Below are 19,695 nucleotides of genomic sequence, written 5' to 3'. Positions count from 1 at the left end.
CACTTGAGCCCAGGAGTTCTAGACCACCCGGGGCAACATGGTGAAACCTCGTCTCTATTAAAAATACAAAAAGCTAGCTGGTTGTGGTGATGGGCACCTGTAATCCCAGCTACTCAGGAAACTGAGGCACAAGAATCGCTCGAACCCAGGAGGCAGAGGTTGCAGTCAGCCGAGATGGTGTCACTGCACTCCAGCCTGGGTGACAGAGCAAGACCCTGTCTCAAAAATAAATAATCTGGGTAACCCTTGGCCTGTCAAGTTGACACATAAAATACACCACAGACACGGTGACCAGTACACACACATACGCACACACACACACACACACACACACACACAACCCATCTCTTTTAAAACAAAATCTTCCATCTCTACTAAAAAATGCAAAAAATTAGCCAGGCGTGGTGGTGGGTGCCTGTCGTCCCAGCTACTTGGGAGGCTGAGGCAGGAGAATGGCCTGAACCCAGGAGGCAGAGCTTGCAGTGAGCCGAAATCGCGCCACTACACTCCAGCCTGGGCGACAAGGCAAGACTCCCGTCTCAAAAAAAAAAAAAAAAAAAAAATCTAGTAAAGTTTCCTATAAATGCTAAGACATACTAAAGAACAAAGGCAAAACTGTGGAGTTCAGATTATCTATAGATACTCATCAGCAGAAATAAATAATATAGATCTAATACTTGTAGTGTGTTTTATATTTCCAAGTCACTTCATTTATGCCTCACCAAACCCAGTAAAATAATTGGAAAGGAAATTGTTATCCCCATTTTACTGATAAGGAAAATCAAACTCAAGGTCAGGTGGTTCAGTCCATGTCCTCAAGGCATTGGGGGGTTAAGACCAGAATATGGGACTTTCAGGGGACAGTAGAAATAATCTTAAGGAGAATGGCATGCCACTATTATCTTTAGATGTTTTGTGGGTAAGAATAAACGTGGTGATAACTGGTGAGAATTCGTTAGGAAAACGCTTGGTGGCTTTCCTAACCCTACAAGTGGTTCCGAGTGGACTTTGCAAAGACTGTCCTTGTCAAAATCTTCTCGACCTACTATATGGTTGTCAATTACATTTTCTCACGGAATTATCTCATTTGTCTTACATGAGAGTTGGAATTCCTGCAGTTCCGGACCATGGTGGGCTGCTTGTCATTAAGATTCTTGGTTAAATGTAAAGACCACCACCAAGTCCCTCTGAGCAAAGAGGCCCTCCGGCTCTCAGGACTCTTGGAGAACATCCGTAACACCTGCCATTTGGGGTTCCCACGGGCCCACTTGTTAGAAACACTTGGAGACCCTCAGATGGAAATCTTTCTGAGAATATTGTTAGGCATGGTGTTGCTGATAAATGACCTCAGGCCTCTTCCTTCGGCAGTTCAGTCACCTGGGATAAAACAACACGGCGTGGGAGGAAGTGGGGCAGCCCTTCCCACCCCTACTCAGAGCACGTTCGCACACACACACACACACACACATACCTGCAGACGGTCACGGTTCGTCTTTCCATACCATTTCTCAAAGATCAAAGGAAGCAGCATGCATTATTCAGTAGTAAGGAAAGCAGATGCCTAAAGTACACACCCAGTGGCCACAGTCACCAAAGGACCTTACACTTCCTCCTGCCAGCATCGCCCTGGGCTTCTCTAGAGTCTCAAAGTAATTATTCCATGCCCACCAGACAGCCCAAGATTCCCAGGCTAGATTCCAGCTCAGACACTGCAGAAACCCCTCCCTCCAATGGCCGCAAGAGCACGGGGGGCTTCACCGCAGAGCTGTGGATTGCATAAGCGCAGAGGAATGTTACACCTCAGCCCCTGCATAAGGCAGATGGAAGCCACCCTCAAGCCTCCGGGAAGTGTCTTCTGCTCCTCCTCCTATGATCCCATTTTGTCCTTAGTTACAGTTATGGGGAAAGCCCAGAATCCCAGGAAAAAAATGGGATTTTTGCACACTCTGTGTGGTCTCCTTCAGTGTAGTTCCTCTGCTTGAGCAGAAACCCATGAAAGATGCCACCTCTGGCCGGGCACGGAGGCTCATGCCTGTAATCCCAGCACTTTGGGAAGCCGAGGTGGGTGGATCACTTGAGGTCAGTAGTTTGAGACCAGCCTGGCCAACATGGTGAAACCCTGCTTCCACTAAAAATAAAAAAATTGGCCAGGCATGGTGACGCACACCTGTAATCCTAGCTATTTGGGAGGTTGTGGCACAAGAATTGCTGGAACCCAGAAGGCGGAGGTTGCTGTGAGCCCAGGTTGCACCACTGCATTCCAGCCTGGGTGACACAGTGAGATCCTGTCTCAAAAAAAATAAATGAAAAGCCACCTCTGGACCACTGGAGAAGTCAGATAAGGAAAAGGGAGAGTCATTTTCTTAATGTCATATGGGAGCACATTTCTGCTAGGAAGACCCCTGAAAACATCTAATAACTCCCCTGTGTGGAACTTGGCTTTCAGGGGTGTTTTGTTTCGTTTCGTTTTGTCTTTTGAGATGGAGTCTCACTCTGTCACCAGGCTGGAGTGCAGTGGCGCTATCTCGGCTCACTGCAACCTCCATCTCCAGGGTTCAAGCGATTCTCCTGCCTCAGCCTCCTGAGTAGCTGGGACTACAGGCGTGCACCACCACGCCCAACTAATTTTTGTGTTTTTAGTAGAGACGGGGTTTCACCATGTTGTCCAGGATGGTATCAATCTCTTGACCTCATGATCTGCCCTCCTCGGTCTCCCAAAGTGCTGGGATTACAAGCTTAAACCACTGTGCCCGGCCAGCTTTCAGGTTTTGAAGTACCATGGGAAATTTTCAGAGTAAGCCGGAAGTCTAGAGCTCTGCTCCATCGTGGTAGAATCTTAAGGATAAAGCCACCTGGAAGGATGAGGTGTATAAGGGGGAAACAGTATCATGAACAAGTGACATTGGGGAATTGGGCAAAGACTCTCAGGATGTCTTCCCACCACCCTAGATTGGTTCTTATCCACACCGTTTTGGTCTTTGTGTTGAGTCCTATGAGAACATCCAATGAAATGATCCTTAAATTCAATGCATGTTAAATAGGCGAGGTCAGAAATAATAATGCAGCTCTTTCCATCAGATTTTGTAAGCATGTGCAATGCCTGGGGCGCTTGAATCTTTAATCATTTTCCCTCCCACTGGCCACATTTCACCTCCTCCTGTTTTTGATATCTTCACTGGGAGATAGATAGTCAAGGTCAGGCTTTTCACCCGAAAAGTCACCACAGTTAAAGGTGCCAGTTCTCACTTAACCCGAGAACAACTATGGTGAGAGAGAAGTTGAATCAATCAGGTTAGATATTTGATGGTGCTTTCCTGTGGATATTTTTGGTAGCTTTCCTGTGGATATCAGTTATGTTACAGTTAATGTTCACCAATGATACTCTCCTGGGACCACATAATGGGCTGTGTAAAATAGAATAAAAGACCTTCCTTCGTGTTACCCGCCTCCGCGCAGGTAGAGACATCTTCGTTTAGCGGATGAATCAAATAGCAAACTAAAAGCTATGTTCACACTTAAAAGTGTTATTTTCTGATGGTTGGTTTTGAGTTGCGCATCAGATAAGCCTCTCAGCAGATGTTAAATATTAGCCCGCAGTCGACCATTGGCTGTAACATAAGGTGTAAATGTTTGACAGAAAAGCACACATACAACAGCACGCTAACAAGTGCACCCCAAGGCATTCAGGTGGGAATGGAAACGCACAGAGTGAGAGTAGAAACCATCTATTGTGGAAATCCTGGACAGTGTTTCTGTGAAGCCATCTGTACACTGTTAAATGATTTACATTCTGATGGGACCTGCTAATCCCGGAACTGCAATTCCAAACATTCTTCCGCATCCCAGCACCGACAGCCTCTATCAATTCCAACCGCCGTAAAGCTCTTTCAGCTGGTTAAACGTAAGGAATTATTGTCCCCAATTCTTCCGTAGGCTCTCATGAGTTCTTTTAACCCGTACTTCTAAGGTGGTTCCAGGGCAAATATTAGTATCCAACTGTGAAATTCCCAGGCCCAAAGGAGCCTGAAAGATATCTCTCCTTCAAAAGATCCAGGTGTGCTTGAATGCATTGTTTTAAATTGCAGGAGCCAATTCTGGACCTCTCAAAAAATAATTACAAAATCCATGAATCGGCCGGGCATGGTGGCTCATGCCTGTAATTCCAGTACTTTGGGAGGCCGAGGTGGGTGGATCACCTGAGGTCAGAAGTTCGAGACCAGCCTGGCCAACATGGTGAAATCCCATCTCTACTAAAAATGCAAAAAAATTAGCCAGGCGTGGTGGTGGGCGCCTGTAATCTCAGCTACTTGGGAGGCTGAGGCAGGAGAATTGCTGGAACCCGGGAGACAGAAGTTGCAGTGAGCCGAGATCGCACCATTGCACTCCAGCCTGGACGACAACAGTGAGACTCCGTCTCAAAAAAAAAAAAAAAAACAAAAAAAAAAAATCAATCCTTGAATCAGAGTCTGGCTTGTAATGCAAGTGAATAGAAACTCTTGCTAAGCAAATTGGATTATAGATATTGTTCTTAGAATACATTGGCTGAAACTGATTCTCTATTGATTTGGGTGGAAATGTAAGTCCTAAGGGAGGTCACACACTGGACAAGTAGTAGGGGGTCTGTTCCCGGCCCCTTAAGTGCCATTAAGGCCCTGTGGTTTTGCAAAGTCCCTTGATGTTTTTGGGTTCCATTCTCAGTAAAAGCACAGGGTCAGGCTGGCTGGTCTCTAAATCTCTTTTACCTCTAGCTCTCTGTCATCCAGTCAGCCACTATGGGATCTTGTGATACTAGGGAAAGAAAAATAAAATGGATATTTGTGCTTAAGCTTGACACCAGACATAGGATATCAATTAAATTGTGTATTATTCTGGCATGCTGATGGACTCCAGGCTTCTCTTTGTCTTTAACATGTGAGCTATGTATAATGAGAGAGTGTTGTGCACTTAGAAGACTTAGAAGTTTATTAAGAAGGTAGGTCATGTCCTCATGGTTAGTGAGTTTGTTGTTGTTAGGTTTTGTTTGTTTGTTTGTTTGTTTGTTTATTTGAGGCAGGGTCTCTCTGTCACCAGGCTGGAGTGTAGTGGCATGATTACAGCTCACTGTAGCCTCAACCTCCGCAGGCTCAGGGGACCCTCCCACCTCAGCCTCCCAAGTAGCTGGGACTACAGGCATACACCACCACTCCAGGCTAATTTTTGTATTTTTAATAGAGATGGGGTTTCGCCACGTTGACCAGGCTGGTCTTGAACTCCTGGGCTCAAGTGATCCATCCGCCTCTGCCTCCCAAAGTGTGTGAGCCATCATGCCCAGCTAGGTGTTTTTACCATACACACACACACACACACACACACACACACACACACGGAAATCTTTGGATGTGATCGATATGTTTATTACCTTGGTTGTGGTAATGGTATCATGGGTGTATGCATCTGTCCAAACTCATCAAATTGTTTACATTAAACATATGCAGTTTTTGAGGTGTTTTAGTTATACTTCAATAAAGCTGTTTTGGCCGGGTGCAGTGGCTCATGCCTGTAATCATCCCAACACTTTGGGAGGCCAAGGCAGGCAGGTCACCTGAGGCTAGGAGTTCCAGACCAGCCTGGCCAACCTGGTACCCCGTCTGTACTAAATACAAAAAAATTATCCGGTGTGGTGGTGTATGCCTGTAGTCCCAGCTACTCGGGAGGCTGAGACAGGAAAATCACTTGTACCTGGGAGGAGGAGGTTGCAGTGAGCCAAGATCGCACCACTGCACTCCAGCTTGGGTGACACAGCAAGACTCTGTCTCAGAGAAAGAAAAAAGCTGTTAAAAGATATGAACTATATACATTTTGAAATATGTATTTCAAAAATATAAATATAAAGAGAGAGAGAGAAAAGGAATTTTTTCAAAAACCAAGGAGAGGTTTAAGTGCTTTGAAGACCACGTCCCTAGATCACAATTAAGTATTTGGGGGAAGAACTAATAGGCAGAAACATTGTTAAACTTACACTGTGTAACAGTTGCTGACCAATAGAACTTTCTACAGTGGTAGAAACGTTCTGTATCTGAGCTGACGATACGGTAGTCACTAGCGACACTGAACTATTGAGCACATGAAAGAAATGTGGCTAGTACAACCGAGGAACTATATTTTTACATTTTATTTAATTTTAAGGAGTTACAATCCCACTGTAACATTCCTTTCAAAAAACAGCCTTTCAAGAAAGCCTTTCTTTATAGAAAGAAAGTTCTGAAGTTTAGTTTTTAAAGAAAATGCATTTTGTTGTCAAGCATCCCTATTCCAGTGATTAATAACATTAACAAACAGGTTTGTAAAATGCTGGGGCCTAGTCTGCCTCTTAATTTCTCTAAAGATTTAAAGGTGAGGCCCTTGAGATAGTCGGGTAGGCCCAGGTCCCCTAGTCCATCCCAGCTAAGAGCAGTAAAAACGATGTTGGGAGTGTTTAGGACTGAATAATTCAGGGTGTGGTCTCAGAGACTCAAGATGTTCTATGAATATTGGGGATTCTGAGCAATTCCTCAGAAAATAAGGCTTTTTGTTTGTTTGTTTGTTTGTTTTGAGCCAGGGTCTCACTCACCCCATTACCCAGGCTGGAGTGCGGTGGTACTATCACAGCTCGCTACAACCTCAACCTCCCACCTCAGCCTCCAAAACAGCTGCGTCTACAGACGTGCACCACCCTGCCCAGCTAATTTTTAAATTTTCTGTAGAGGCAGCATCTCATTATGTTGCCCAGGCTGGTCTCAAACTCCAGGGCTCAAGTAATCCTCCCGAAGAAGAGCTGTCATTTAAAATAAAAGAAAAAAATGGTGGTTAAATACCAAACTTGTCTTCGTTTGTTGCTTTTTCCTTTCAGGAGCTTATTGACGTTGACAGCGAAGTGGTGTTTGAATTAGCTTCCTATATTTTACAGGTAAGTTGTTTTTCTCCTCCTCTTTATGTCCCACGGCCATACACAGAAGAAAGGAAGTAAGACTTACCAGGCATAGCCAGTAGCTGTATCTACTCACTATTTGTCGTCTTACCTTTTTTTAGCCACAAGCTGCATAGAGCTATTAGAGACACTGACGGAAACCATAGCAATAAACAGGGGCTTGTAGTATTTCAAAATGTTAAGACAGAAAATCCCTGTAAAGCGAAGTTGTGTGTTTAACCTGAGCCTGGGAGAAACTGAGATCATTTACTGACCCCATTTTCTTTGGGTTTGGTACCTCCACCCTGGAGAAAGCCAAGTGAATAGCTAGAGTTAGTGGCCAAAAAATCATGTTCTGCCCCCTAGAAAGACAAGGTAAAGCCCTTTAGGTTATGCAAAAATAAAACGTAAAAAAAGATGTTATAGAATATTAGCTTAATAGTGGCAAGATGAGTTAAAATGATATCATTTCTTTATTCCTTCAATAAGTATTTACTGAGCAACTACTATGTTCAGGGCATTATACTGGATTCACTAAAGTTTCTCTGGTCCCTACCTCCAGAGTCTTCAGTATAATTGGGAACTAGCATAAAATACAAACCAAAACAAAAACTGACCCTAGAAATCGACAGTTCTATCCAGATACATGTTCATATTTAGAATCTTTAATCTAGAACATGTCAGACCCAGGCTTAGAGGTGGAGATGTGCATTTTGTCATTATGAATCACTTACTTTGTATATAAGTTTCTAGAGTTTAGTTTCATATTTCATATTCAAATGGCAAAGGTGTGCATTCAGTTTTAATTGTATTCCTGCAGCAAATAGGATGATAACTGCAGGAAGCTGAACTCATCTCATTCAGTAGAGAAACTCTCATGATTATAGAATGTACTTTAGAGTCTCTAACATTGGCTTAGTGTATTTCGCTGATGTTGAATTTTTTCTTCTACAGGAGGCAAAGGGAGATTTTTCTAGGTAAGTTTACAATTTTGTTGTTGTGTTGTTTAAAATGTAAGCCCTTGCTTCTCTATTAAAAGAAACTAATCAGGATGTCCTTTTTAGGTGGACAATTTATTCATGTTATATGTTAATGATGAGATCTAACTCTCAACTTGTCCACTGAAACAGATAGATCAGGTGGAGAAAATATAGTAATAGCAAGGGAGATATTCTCCACTACATGCAAAGCCCGGAGATTACTGGAAAGCTGACATTAGGCCCAGCGTCACACATGCCCATTGTCCTGAGGTTGGACAGGCTGCTCAAATGTCTCGTAGAGGCTGGAATCACCACTGTGGTGTAAATATGATTGCAGATAACCTGTCAGTCCTGACAAGTAGGTGGACATCTTTTTTTCTCTCAATGTAGTCCCTGCCCCTCAAGGGACAAAATACTTTCTTACAGGGAAATTTCATTCGTGAAAATGTTACAACATAAAAATACCCCACCTCTGCTTTCCTTCTGTCTTAGGATATTGTGTTGGAGAAAACATAAACAGACAACTACTGGGAATCTGTGAATGTTGTTAATAACCCTGTAAAACTGCAAACTTGTCATTTATTTCATTCATCACCATATGTTGATCAGTATGGCTGAAATTGCCCTGAAATCGCCCTGAAATCTCTTGTGATCATCACCAGACCCTGCACAGAGCAGAGGGTGTAGCCAACCACTAGCAGGACTATCTGCTCAAAGATAGTCGTTATTCCTGGGATTCTGTTTGATCAAGCTCCTCTGAAAAAAAAAAAAAAGGCCAGGGTAGCCCATTCTGGAGAATCAAGGTTTAGAGGCAAAAAGAGTGAACCACATGAACAGGAAAGGAAAGCATCAAGGCGTAAGGTTCTGGCCCATTAACAGGAAATTAGCAAATTGGTATTAAAAAGAAACACAGATCGTACCTCTGCTCCATCTAAGAACCTGTCTGTTTCCCCATGCTTTGAGGGATTTTATCTGTAAATGCAGCAAAAACTACTTCTGTTGGTGGCCACCTGTAGTTGGCTGTCTTTGTCACTGGTTTTTCAGGTCTCAACTGCTTTCTCCTTGCTCTCCATGTACACTTCTCATGCTTGCTTTTTTATTATTATTATTTTTTAATTTTTTTCAGAGACAAGGTCTCCTTCTGTTACCCAGGCTGGAGTGCAGTGGTGCAGTCATGTCTCACTGTAACCTCCAGCTCCTGGGCTCAAGTGATCCTCCTGCCTCAGCCTCCCAAGTTGCTGGGACTACAGGCATGAGTCACTGCACCGGGCTAATTATTTTATTTTATTTTTTGTAGAGATGAGCTCTCACTATGTTGACTGTTCTCAGTCAGACATCTCAGCAAAAGCAAAAAATTATTTTACAGTCTAAAACAAGGATCGGCGAGCTTTTTTTGTTGAGGGCCAGATTGTCAGTATCTTGAGTTTTGCACGCAGTACGATCTCTGTTTCAATTACACAACTCTTCCTAAGTGCAAAAGCAGCCCCATAGGATAAGTAAATGGATGAGCCTGATTGTGTTCCAATAAAACTTTATTTATGGATACAGAAATATGAATTTCATATAAATGTTCATGTATCACAAAATATTCTTCTTCTTTTGGTTTCTTTTTCCAATCAGTTAAAAGTGTAAAAGCCATCCTTAGTTCATGGGTAATACATAAACAAGCAGAGGACTGGATTTGTCTAGGGGGTTGTAGTTGCTGACTCTGATCTCAAATGCCATCTCTTCAGCTCTGTTTGAATATTTGCATAAAGAGACCTCCAGGCCCCTTTTATTTAAGTTCTCCAAGTTTTTGGTATAAAGCAGTGGTAGTCAAATTTTTAAATAGATAATGACTGTAAGTAGCTTTGGCTGGAGACCTTGAACTTTGTAGGTGGCCAGTAACCATTTACCGAATTTGCTAAACATAATGTTTTCAGGTTACAGAAACTAAATCTTGTTACAATTTTTATTTGTCACTTTTTTATGACATTAATTTGGCCTTGGAATTTGGGGTTTTGATAAGTGCCAGTCCATATCTACTTACAAAGATTTCTGAAGTCCCATGAAAAAATGATTTAAAAACCACAAATCCAATGGATTCCAGTGTCTAGTCTACTTACTCACATTTTTCCCTCCACATTTCTTTCGCCAGCTCTGAACTCTGCTGTAAATATTATTTATTTTGAGAGTACCCTGACGGGATGGAATGTGAACTGGGAATAGCATGATCTGGCCCCACGGATCATGGGAACGTGTGGCCACATGGATTGCCAGGGAGAAGGAAGTGCAGGCTTGGCCTCCACAGTAATTCATGGCCCCCTAATGAGCTTCTGGAATGCCAGCTTGTTGGCTGAATTCAAAGAAACAAAGGATCCGGGTTGTGCTCCATTTGTCAAAGTGCTACTGCTACCTAGCAGTTTGTTTGTAAGCGCAGCTGTCTGGGAAGAGAAATCACTGTCAGGAGAGGGGAGAGGTCAGACACCTTATCCAAAAGGTCAGTTTATCTCACAGCCTAAAACCTACACCATGGACGGTGGGGGTGATTTGTTACATGGGAGTCTCTGATAAACACCCTTTTTCTGTAGCAGGCCCATGCTAGTAAAGCCATCTTCAGAGGTCCAGAGAAACTAGTACACTTGAGTGGCCTAAAATTGTGGAGTAATAGAAGTAATTCCAAATTCCTTCCCATCTGCTTCTGGGAAGATACCCAACACGTCGAAATTGACCACATTCGGTTCAGTGGCTAAACATTAGGTATTTTAGATGTCCCATTCTCATAACTTATGTAATTTATATAAATAAATTTATTTATGATTTATTATAGAAAGTTGTTTTTGCTATTGATGCAGGATTTTTTGCTCCTTAGTTCAACTAAAATCCAGCTTCTTGTCTCACGACCAGGAAAAAATAGGCACATGGACACACTGAAGGGAGAGGAGAGTGGATTATTAAGCGAAAAGAAGGCTCTCAGCAAAAAAAGAGAGGGTCCTGCCAACAGGCTCCCACCTCACAGATTGAATATCAGTCTCCTCCCCTGCATAAGGCATGAATTCTTGGTGGCTCCACCCCCTTCTCCTAGTGCACATGTGGGCCCCAGTCCCTTGCAGGCACGCCCGGGCAAGACCCTGTGCAGGTTTCCTTATCTGCATCTGCATGCCTCCTGCATCTATCACTATTATTAAATGCATGACTATATAACCTCAGTTTTATTTAAAGGAATGGCTTTGACTTCCATACTGTAGATATGTTTTCCTGAACCACATTAATAAAATACCAGCTTAGAACACACAGAACCCTAGAAAAGGCTTTTCTAGATATAACACAGGGTCTAGGGCTGAACTCAAAGATCTTCTAAAATCCAGAGGATCCAATAACCTTTTAAATGAATGGCCACACACAAAAGATAAAGTAACTCTTTCATAGCCTGAAAGGTCCTGAATCTAAAACTTCCCAAAAGGCTATTTTCTTCAGGATACTATTATCCTAGATATTTACATTTCAGGGACTATATCCAAATTACATTTATGTGGAATGAGTATTAATTCATAAATTATGGGAGCAGTTTCCTTGAGGTACAAGAGAAAAGGGGATTGCTTTTACAAAAGAGAAGTCAAGGGCTGGGTGTGGTGGCTCATGCCTGTAATCCCAGCACTTTGGGAGGCCAAGGCAGGTGAATCACCTAAGGTCGAGAGTTCAAGACCAGCCTGGCCAACATGGTGAAACCCTGTCTCTACTAAAAATACAAAAATTAGCCAGGTGTGGTGGTGTGCGCCTGTAATCCCAGATACTCGGGAGGCTGAGGCAGGAGAATTGCTTGAACCTGGTAGGCGGAGGTTGCAGTGAGCTGAGATCGTGCCATTACACTCCAGCCTGGGTGACAAGAGCAAAACTCCCTCTCAAATAAAAAAAAGACGAAGTCAAAAGTGCTGATACACCTTAATGGAAAGAGAACTATATAAAGACAACTGTGAACCGTAGCTACTCTTTCTCATGAAACTCACTTGCTCTTCCGTTTCTTCTTTTGGGCTCTCTGTTTTGCTCAGCAGATGCCTGAAGGCTTATTCTTACATAACTGTCTTTTCTTTCCCACTAACAAAATAGCTCACTTCCTTGTCTTATTGGACTTTACACTGAAATGTCAGGTTTAGCGTGCTGAGAGAAAATGACTGTTATCTAGATAGATGATTAGTATCGCCTGCCATAGAAGAGATACAGACCACACATGTTCATATTCTACCAAATGGAGGACAAATTTGTACGATACTTCTAAAGGTTTAGGAAATAGTCTTATCTAAAAATAACATTTTTTCACTTTTATTGTTTTCCTTAGCACAGCATGTAGTAATCTCATTTCATTTCCTGATGTATATACATGTAAAACAAAAAACCTCATGTCTGTCGACAATCAGGAAGTCAGTAGAGTTGGCATTTCTCTTTAAAAACAATTCAGTAGCCTCCAAGCTGTTAACAAAGGCAGCTGTGGGCCAAATATTTGGAAGACAAGAACCGATGCAGTTTAAAAACAAAAAATTGTCTTTCGATAATCGCTGTTGACCATTGGCCAACTAACTAACAGACATTATCTATGATTCTTACATACTTTATTCATCGTAAACAGTGCAGGGTTTTGAGAATGGAGCACTGATGTTTTCTGTTTCAAAGCTTTTTTAAAAACTCTTGGGTTATGATAGAAAAACTAATGTTCTCTTCCTTAAAAAGTTCAGTGCAGAGAATACCTCATTTAATCGACTGATAGGACGTCCAATTTTCTAGTTATATTCTAATTTAATTTAACAGAAGTCTCATTGCAACACTGTACTGAGGGAGATATCACATACAAAAACTTGATTTTTTGGTTTTTGTCTATAAGGGACCTTAACTGAAAACCTTATCAGCCAATCTCCTTACCCTGATTTTGAGAATCACTTCACCTCTGCCAGCCCTTCTGATCTTTCTAAAAATGTGCCGCAAATTTTCTTAAAATAATAACTTTAAGCAAAGCATGGTGGCTCACGTCTTTAATCCCAGCACTTTGGGAGGCCGAGGCGGATGGATTGCTTGAGGCCAGGAGTTCGAGACCAGCCAGGGCAACGTGACAAAACCCCGTCTCCACTAAAAATACAAAAACAATTAGTCGGGCATGGTGGCGTGTGCCTGTAGTCCCAGCTACTTGGGAGGCTGAGGTGGGAGGATTGCTTGATCCCAGGAGGCAGAGGCTGCCGCTGCAGTGAGCCGAGATTGCACCACTGCACTCCAGCCTGAGTAATAGAGCGAGACCCTGTCTCAAAAAATAAAATAAAAAATAACGTTTAGCATTTTGCAATATTGAAGTACTTTTAAAATGCTTTGCGCTAAACAATGCAAATCACAAATGCCAAAATCACACTACCTTTGAAATAAAGAATCGTCCATACATTAACAGAGACAAGTAAAAAACATCTGTTCTATAGAATTTTTTGTTAACAAGATTTATTGAAACCAGATCAGTAAAGCTGTGTTACTCTGGACCCTCTTCTGGGACCTGGAAATATTTTTGTTTCCGAGGACTGGATATACTGATGCTAATCACTAAAACAGGATTCTCCCAGCATGAGATTTATTAAGACCAGAAAGCAAACAGCACCTGGAAAAGACAGATAGTAAGGAAATTCCGTGTAAAGATTCTTGGTCCACGTTTTGCCTACCTGGCTCTGTTCAGCAGAACCCATCACATGCTTAAGAGGCGATGGAAGGGACCCTGTGTCTACAGGCTCACCATTCCAAATAAACATAGCCACCAAAGGAAAAGAACTCAGGTTTTGATTGAATACTTGGGGGCCAGTTTACATGACATCTCTACAAGATGAAATGCCAGTCCAAGTGAGAGAATATCAGCTTATCAGAGCTTAGTGAGTGTCGGCTAAGAAATCTTAGTGTATACCTGTGGTGTCAGTCTGCAAGTTACTAATTCTGTTTCTTTAAAACAAAAAATGAAAAACAGCTTGCTTTTAGAAACAGAACAATGCATCACCCAATCAATGGAAACAAATAGTAGCAGTCCCTCATTAACAAGGAAAATTGATTTTCACCTCCATTTTAGAAGAGGAGTTGGAGTATTTATTTGTGCTGAAAAATTCCCATTAACTTCCACAAACCACATGTTATTAGGTGCCCAGGGGAGCGGTTAGAGGCAAAAATGTAAAGACCTTTTAGTATTTTATCTTCTATAAACCATGGGATGGTGTGCTCACTAGTGTGGAAAGAAATTTTTATGGCCCAAAAAGAGTGCCTTCTTGGTTTTCTCTTTCTTTCTTTGAAATCTGTTCTGCCTTTATAAAGAGCCATGTGTGAATTAATATAAACTGAACTCAACTTACTGGTATCCGAAAATTCCAGGTTTGTAAGTCTTTTTTGCCAGGCCAGAGGGTGCCTTTTGGGAAGTCACAGGCTAGAGGAAGAGCTTTAGATGATCAACAGGAAAAGAACACGAAGAACTAATTTTCTTCTAAAAGACTTTTTTTGAGTAATATAAACGTTTATATCGATTGCGATCTTTAAAAAGATGACAAAGTCATTTTCTTGCCAGCTACAACATGGAGACTTGATTAATCTAAAGCAGCAGTCTGTAAATCACAATTCCTAGTATACCAATATCATTTCCCTGCACTTACAGAAGTGGTTTTACTACCACAGCTTTAGCTCTAGCTCTAGCTAGCTCGGTTTCAAATCGTTATTAGATCATTTGGGGCATATTTCCCTACGATTTTTAAATTGACCACTTGAAAATAAACAGCTGGCATGATCATATGGTACGAGAAATAGACTTGCTGAGGCTTTTAGATAATTCCTGAAAAAATACTCAGTTATGTCTGAAATAGTTAACATTGGGAACATAACTTATGTAACTTAACAGTAACTTTAATATCTACCTAAACTTTCAAATTTCCCTGTTGGAAACATCCTAGAAAAAAAAAAGTTGATCTGTTAAACTTGAAACACACCTAACAGCCCAAAGAAGAGTTTTTGTGGGAAGAATTGAAATTAATATAATTCTCATATACTATTTATATACTGTTTTACACACACACACACACACACACACACACACACACGAAAGAATTGTGTGTGGCGTTTTCCCATGATTTAAAAATGACTTTAAGGGCCATGAGTAATTGAAGAGCAGATGGAATCTTTCACACCAGCAAGAGCTTTTGAAAGGAACAGAATCTGTGAAAATTTGAAGCAAAATGTTCAAGTGGAAAAGTTATAAATTGTTACAGAAAGCTTTGTTTTGTGCACTAAAGTCTATTTGATGGAGCTTTCAAGTGTGTAATTCACATTTTCAAAGCATAAAAAAGTATTTGGATAGGGATAGGGTAGTTTTTTTTTTGCAGGATGATATTCTTCAAATTCTATGCGAATTGCTTAGAAGCCAAGTAAGGAGGAAATTTTGTATTATGACAGCTTACTTCTTTTGTTAGGCATTTATTTAACATATTAAAATATCATATTTTCAGTTATACCTGTGAACAGCAAAACGTTTCATGGCTATGGTACTGTGTCAGTTTTTCAGAGTGGAAATTCTGAAACTAAAGGGTGATACTGAGAAATATAGAAAGTTAATCGTTTCTTCTTGGGCTTTTTGAGAAAATTATTTGCCTGAAATTGTAGACTTATGAAACAATTTTTAAATTTGTCTTAAATTTTACATGTTTATACCTAACATAAATTAGAAATTCATAAAACTTCATTTCACCCCAGAAAACGAGACTCGGTAATCAAGGAAGAAATCCTTACTTATATAACTTAACAATTAGCAACAGAAATAAAGGCACTGCCAGACACTGTGGCTCACGCCTATAATCCCAGCACTTTGGGAGGCCAAGGCAGGAGGATTGCTTGAGCCCAGGAGTTCAAGATGAGCCTAGGCAACATAGTGAGACCTCATCTCTACAAAATATTTAAAAAATTAACCAGGTGCAGTGATAAGCACCTGTAGTCCCAGCTGCTTGGAGGCTAAGGCAGGTGGTTCACTTGAGCCTGGGAGGTGGAGGCTGCAGTGAGCCATGATCTCAAAACTGCGCTCTAGCCTGGGCAACAAAGCGAGACCCTGTCTCAAAAAAAAAAAAAAAAAAAAATAGAAAGGTACATATTTCATCAATGTGTTTGCAATGTTGCCCCCAACAAACAGTTGGTAAATTCATGTGATTTATCTATGATTCATGCCCAGAATTCAGAATCCCATGCTGGAAAAACCTCCTGGGGCCTCCAAGTGATTCCCTTTGTCTGTGAATGGTCACACACTATGGCAGGAAAAGTTTCTCAGACAGATGGGACCCAACCCAATGGTGGAAGACCCCTGCAACATTTCTTTCCTACACACCTGGGGAAAAAAGCATGTGATTGGGCGGAGATAGGCAGGTGCTCTCTTTTCTTTGTTGTAACCTCAGCTTCACCTTGGTTTACCAAAAAAAGGAGGAGGAAGAAAGGAAAGGGAAATTAAAGATTGTTTCCTGCATGATTTCTTAAAGATCAGCAAAGAATGAAAATCTATAACTTCCCTCATTAATCTGTCTCAGTTTTCTAGGTCCACTGTATGATCGAACAAAGGAACAGAGAGCCACGTATGTATATCTAGAACTTTAGGGTCTCAATGTTTACGAATTCAGAACTTGGCAGGATTTAGGCAGGTAATTCAGGGCTTGTACGACACCCTGGGCAGGGCCTAGGGCAGCACCTGGAATTAAACACATCAACACCTCCAGCCCAAAACATGGATATGCGCAGCAAGTGGGCGCAAATAGAAAGGTCCATCATTGCCTCATGCAAAAAGATGAAGTTTGCCGCCAGATGGGTTAAGAAATGTTTCTTAGACTCTAGCTTTTTGAATTTTGGAATTGTGATAATGGATGAAGGACCTGCAACACTCTACTTATGAAATATCCCGCCCCTGAGAACTTGACCTTCATGATTCTGCTCATAAAATATGGAGGAGTGAGGCCAATGCTAGCATTATATTACTGTTTCTGAATTGCAGGCTGTTCCTTTCTGTTACGATAGTATCACATTCTGGGTTTTGTGCTCTGCTGTTTTTGTACCAGTGCAGACAGAAACGACTGGTTTTAGCAAGAATTCTTTCACGCTAAGCCTATTCTGTTCGTCCCAAGTTTCTCCCACAAATTACATACATCTCATTTGACCCAGGGGGACTTTCTTGAAAAAGTTATTTCCAGGTTTTTTAAAGAAAAGCAAACACATTGTGGATTTTCCTCATCCTTCCCTCTCAGGTTTAATTTTTGCTCCCTTCACTTTGTGGCATCTTGGTTAAATCTGCTGTTCACTGTGGCAAATTCTCTATTTGATATATTGCTAGAAATCTTTGTTTTTCCCCAGTAGATCATTCTAACTTTCCTTGTTTCGTGAGGAGTATAGGCTGCAGAAGACAGGCACATCATCTCAAAGAAAAAAACACCACTAAATCGAAGACCAATACAGCATTGATACCACTTTTATCCTGGCAACGTTAATAACTGCCGGAGAGTTTTTAATAAAAACTGATTCATATTAAAGATAAGAAGACTTGGATGTTATTCTCAGTTTAGCAACTGGCTTTTCAAGAGAACTTTTTGCATTTTTCTTTTTCTTTTCTATTCTTTTGGTTTTTGAGACAGGGTCTCCCTCTGTTGCCCAGGCTGGAGAACAGTGGCATGGTCATAGCTCACTCTAATGTCAAACTCCTGGGCTCAAGCAATCCTCCCACTTTAGCCTCCCAGATAGCTGGGACTACAAGTGCAAACCACTACACCTGGCTGTTTTTTATATTTTTATTTTTAAAGAGATGGAGTCTTGCTATGTTGCCCAGGCTGGTCTCAAACTCCTGGACTCAAGCAGTCCTCCCACCTTGGCCTCCCAAAGTGCTGGGATTATAAGCATGAGCCACCACATCCAGCTCTTTTTTGCATTTTTCTAAAAATGGAATGCAGCCACAGTGAACTGTCTTAAGGTGTTTTATAAGTTGGCATTTATCATATGTCATGAACTCTGGGGAAAATGTCGAAGTGGAAGACATTGAGGGAGGAAGCTGTGAACTTCTAGAACATTCGTTAGGCCACAGCCTTGCAAGCTCTGGGGGTAGAGTGACCAAGTTTCCCATTAGGGGAGCTTTCTGATTTTCAGCCACAGAGTTTGGCCAGATTGACAGGGCTAGACACCCCTAAGTTATTGCAGATGTTTATAAACAGCAGAAAAGCAAACAGAACATTTCTATAGATTTGTCCTCGGGGAAGGATGAAGGGCCATGGATCCCTTCCAGAATATAATGGATTTGGACAGGTTTCACGCCTTGGTGATTTCTTGTTAGATTTTTTTGTGTGTAACCTTGCCCTGGAGCAGAGCTAGAGAACTCACTGCAGGCTTCAGTGAGGAAATCAAACCTGTGGCTGTCATCAGGGCAACTTGTTTGCCAACAAGCAAGGGTTTGGTGGGTAAAACGATCCCTTCCTCCTGGAGTTCCTTCCTTCCCCAAATATACTTTAGATGTGATGGGTGTGAGTGAAACCCAAACTCAAGTTTCAGCTCCTTCAGGGAGCCACTAATTGCCTTTCTCATGGTTTCATCCAATAAAGTTGATCTGAGAAAAGTGCCTTTCACATTGAAGCCAGCCCTCTGTGTGCTGATGGACCAATAAATCAAATCCCTTTTCTCAGGGAACTTACCATGACGCAGGGAGAGAAGATCCGGAAATTCATCAGTGTGGGCCCTCGAGTGTTTGGTGAATTGAATACTTGCTGAAACTATGCCTTTATAGCATGTGCTTAAAAATTACCGACTGTACTTGGGATTGGAATTGAGTTTTCCTGAACACTAGGAGTTTACCCGTTTGAAAATCACCAGGTGCTGTCCTGCTGTCTGCCTCCTGGATCAAACCCAGGAGAGGCTGAACCCTCTTAGCCTGGCATTAAAGTTTCACAATTCTCTGCCTGACCTGCCCTTTTCAGTGTATTGCCCCTGACATTCCTCTTACTCTGATGGATTTCTTCAGTTCATGTGGCTTCCATGTCTGTCCGTGTTCCCCTCAGGAGAAGAGTGATATTCCTATCCTTTTCTTCGTGCACGGCCTCCCCCAAAGCCAGTCTTACATCAGAGCCCAAGGGTGCCTTTATTTCCTCTGAGCTTTCGTGTCTGCTGTTTGGATTGACATGATCACACATCACCCCTGTGGTCAGTGAGCTTTGTAGGAGCTCCTCTCACCTTCTCAGCTAAATCGTGGGCACCTTCTGGTTAAGGACCATATCTCATCATTTTTTATATCCTCTACAATTCTTTCCATGTAATGGCAGGGGCTTCATAAACACCTTCAGCTTATTGATTATCAGTTGATCTGTCCTGGCCTTACCATTTAGATTCTAACAGTTCAAGTACTTGGATGGATTGATTCAAACAGTTACACTTTGAGCTTTTCCCTCTAGTTGGTCATGGTCAGGATTCACCAACACCACTGGTCATGGTCATTGTCTTTCCTTCTCTCTTTTCTTTCTTTCTTTCTTTCTTTCTTTCTTTCTTTCTTTCTTCATTTCTTTCTTTCTTTCTTTCTTTCTTTCTTTCTTTCTTCCTTCCTTCCTTCCTTCCTTCCTTTCCTTTCCCTCTCTTTCTCTCTCTCCTTCTCTCTCTCTCTTTCTTTTTCTCTGTCTCTTTCTTTCTCTTTCCCTTTTCTTTTCTTTTCTTTCTTGATAGGGTCTCCCTCTGTCACCCAGGCTGGAGTGTGGTGTTGCAATTACAGCTTACTGCAACCTCATCCTGGGTAACTAGGACTACAGGCATGCATCA

At 41.8% G+C, this 19,695-nt stretch overlaps 1 protein-coding gene across 3 annotated transcripts in view, besides 5 other annotated features; it reads left to right on the top strand.

Annotated features, from left to right (window-relative positions):
- Nucleotides 1-19,695, top strand: part of FRMD4A (FERM domain containing 4A) — a 687,219-nt gene that overhangs the window by 561,376 nt on the left and 106,148 nt on the right. For all 3 annotated transcript variants that reach the window (NM_018027.5, NM_001318336.2, NM_001318337.2), the window contains 2 exons: nucleotides 6,869-6,925; nucleotides 7,880-7,902. In NM_018027.5, coding sequence (NP_060497.3) covers nucleotides 6,869-6,925; nucleotides 7,880-7,902 — 80 coding nt within the window. The remainder of the gene's footprint in view (nucleotides 1-6,868; nucleotides 6,926-7,879; nucleotides 7,903-19,695) is intronic.
- Nucleotides 10,373-11,572: an enhancer, noted in NCBI's record as "MED14-independent group 3 enhancer chr10:13799977-13801176 (GRCh37/hg19 assembly coordinates)". NCBI's record gives its function as "activates an origin of replication core promoter dependent on BRD2, BRD4, P300/CBP and CDK7 cofactors, and independent of MED14, by STARR-seq in HCT116 cells {active_cell/tissue: HCT116}" and the evidence as "EXISTENCE:reporter gene assay evidence [ECO:0000049][PMID:35650434]".
- Nucleotides 10,527-11,224: an enhancer, noted in NCBI's record as "H3K27ac hESC enhancer chr10:13800325-13801022 (GRCh37/hg19 assembly coordinates)". NCBI's record gives its function as "activates a minimal SCP1, AML or CMV promoter by ChIP-STARR-seq in primed H9 embryonic stem cells {active_cell/tissue: H9 hESC(primed)}" and the evidence as "EXISTENCE:reporter gene assay evidence [ECO:0000049][PMID:30033119]".
- Nucleotides 10,936-11,075: an enhancer, noted in NCBI's record as "active region_3065". NCBI's record gives its function as "activates an Ori minimal core promoter by ATAC-STARR-seq in GM12878 lymphoblastoid cells {active_cell/tissue: GM12878}" and the evidence as "EXISTENCE:reporter gene assay evidence [ECO:0000049][PMID:35858748]".
- Nucleotides 11,807-11,996: an enhancer, noted in NCBI's record as "active region_3064". NCBI's record gives its function as "activates an Ori minimal core promoter by ATAC-STARR-seq in GM12878 lymphoblastoid cells {active_cell/tissue: GM12878}" and the evidence as "EXISTENCE:reporter gene assay evidence [ECO:0000049][PMID:35858748]".
- Nucleotides 18,345-18,394: an enhancer, noted in NCBI's record as "active region_3063". NCBI's record gives its function as "activates an Ori minimal core promoter by ATAC-STARR-seq in GM12878 lymphoblastoid cells {active_cell/tissue: GM12878}" and the evidence as "EXISTENCE:reporter gene assay evidence [ECO:0000049][PMID:35858748]".

This window comes from Homo sapiens, chromosome 10 (assembly GCF_000001405.40).
Source record: "Homo sapiens chromosome 10, GRCh38.p14 Primary Assembly".
NCBI lineage: Eukaryota > Metazoa > Chordata > Mammalia > Primates > Hominidae > Homo > Homo sapiens.
This window is presented reverse-complemented; position numbering and strand designations above follow the sequence as displayed.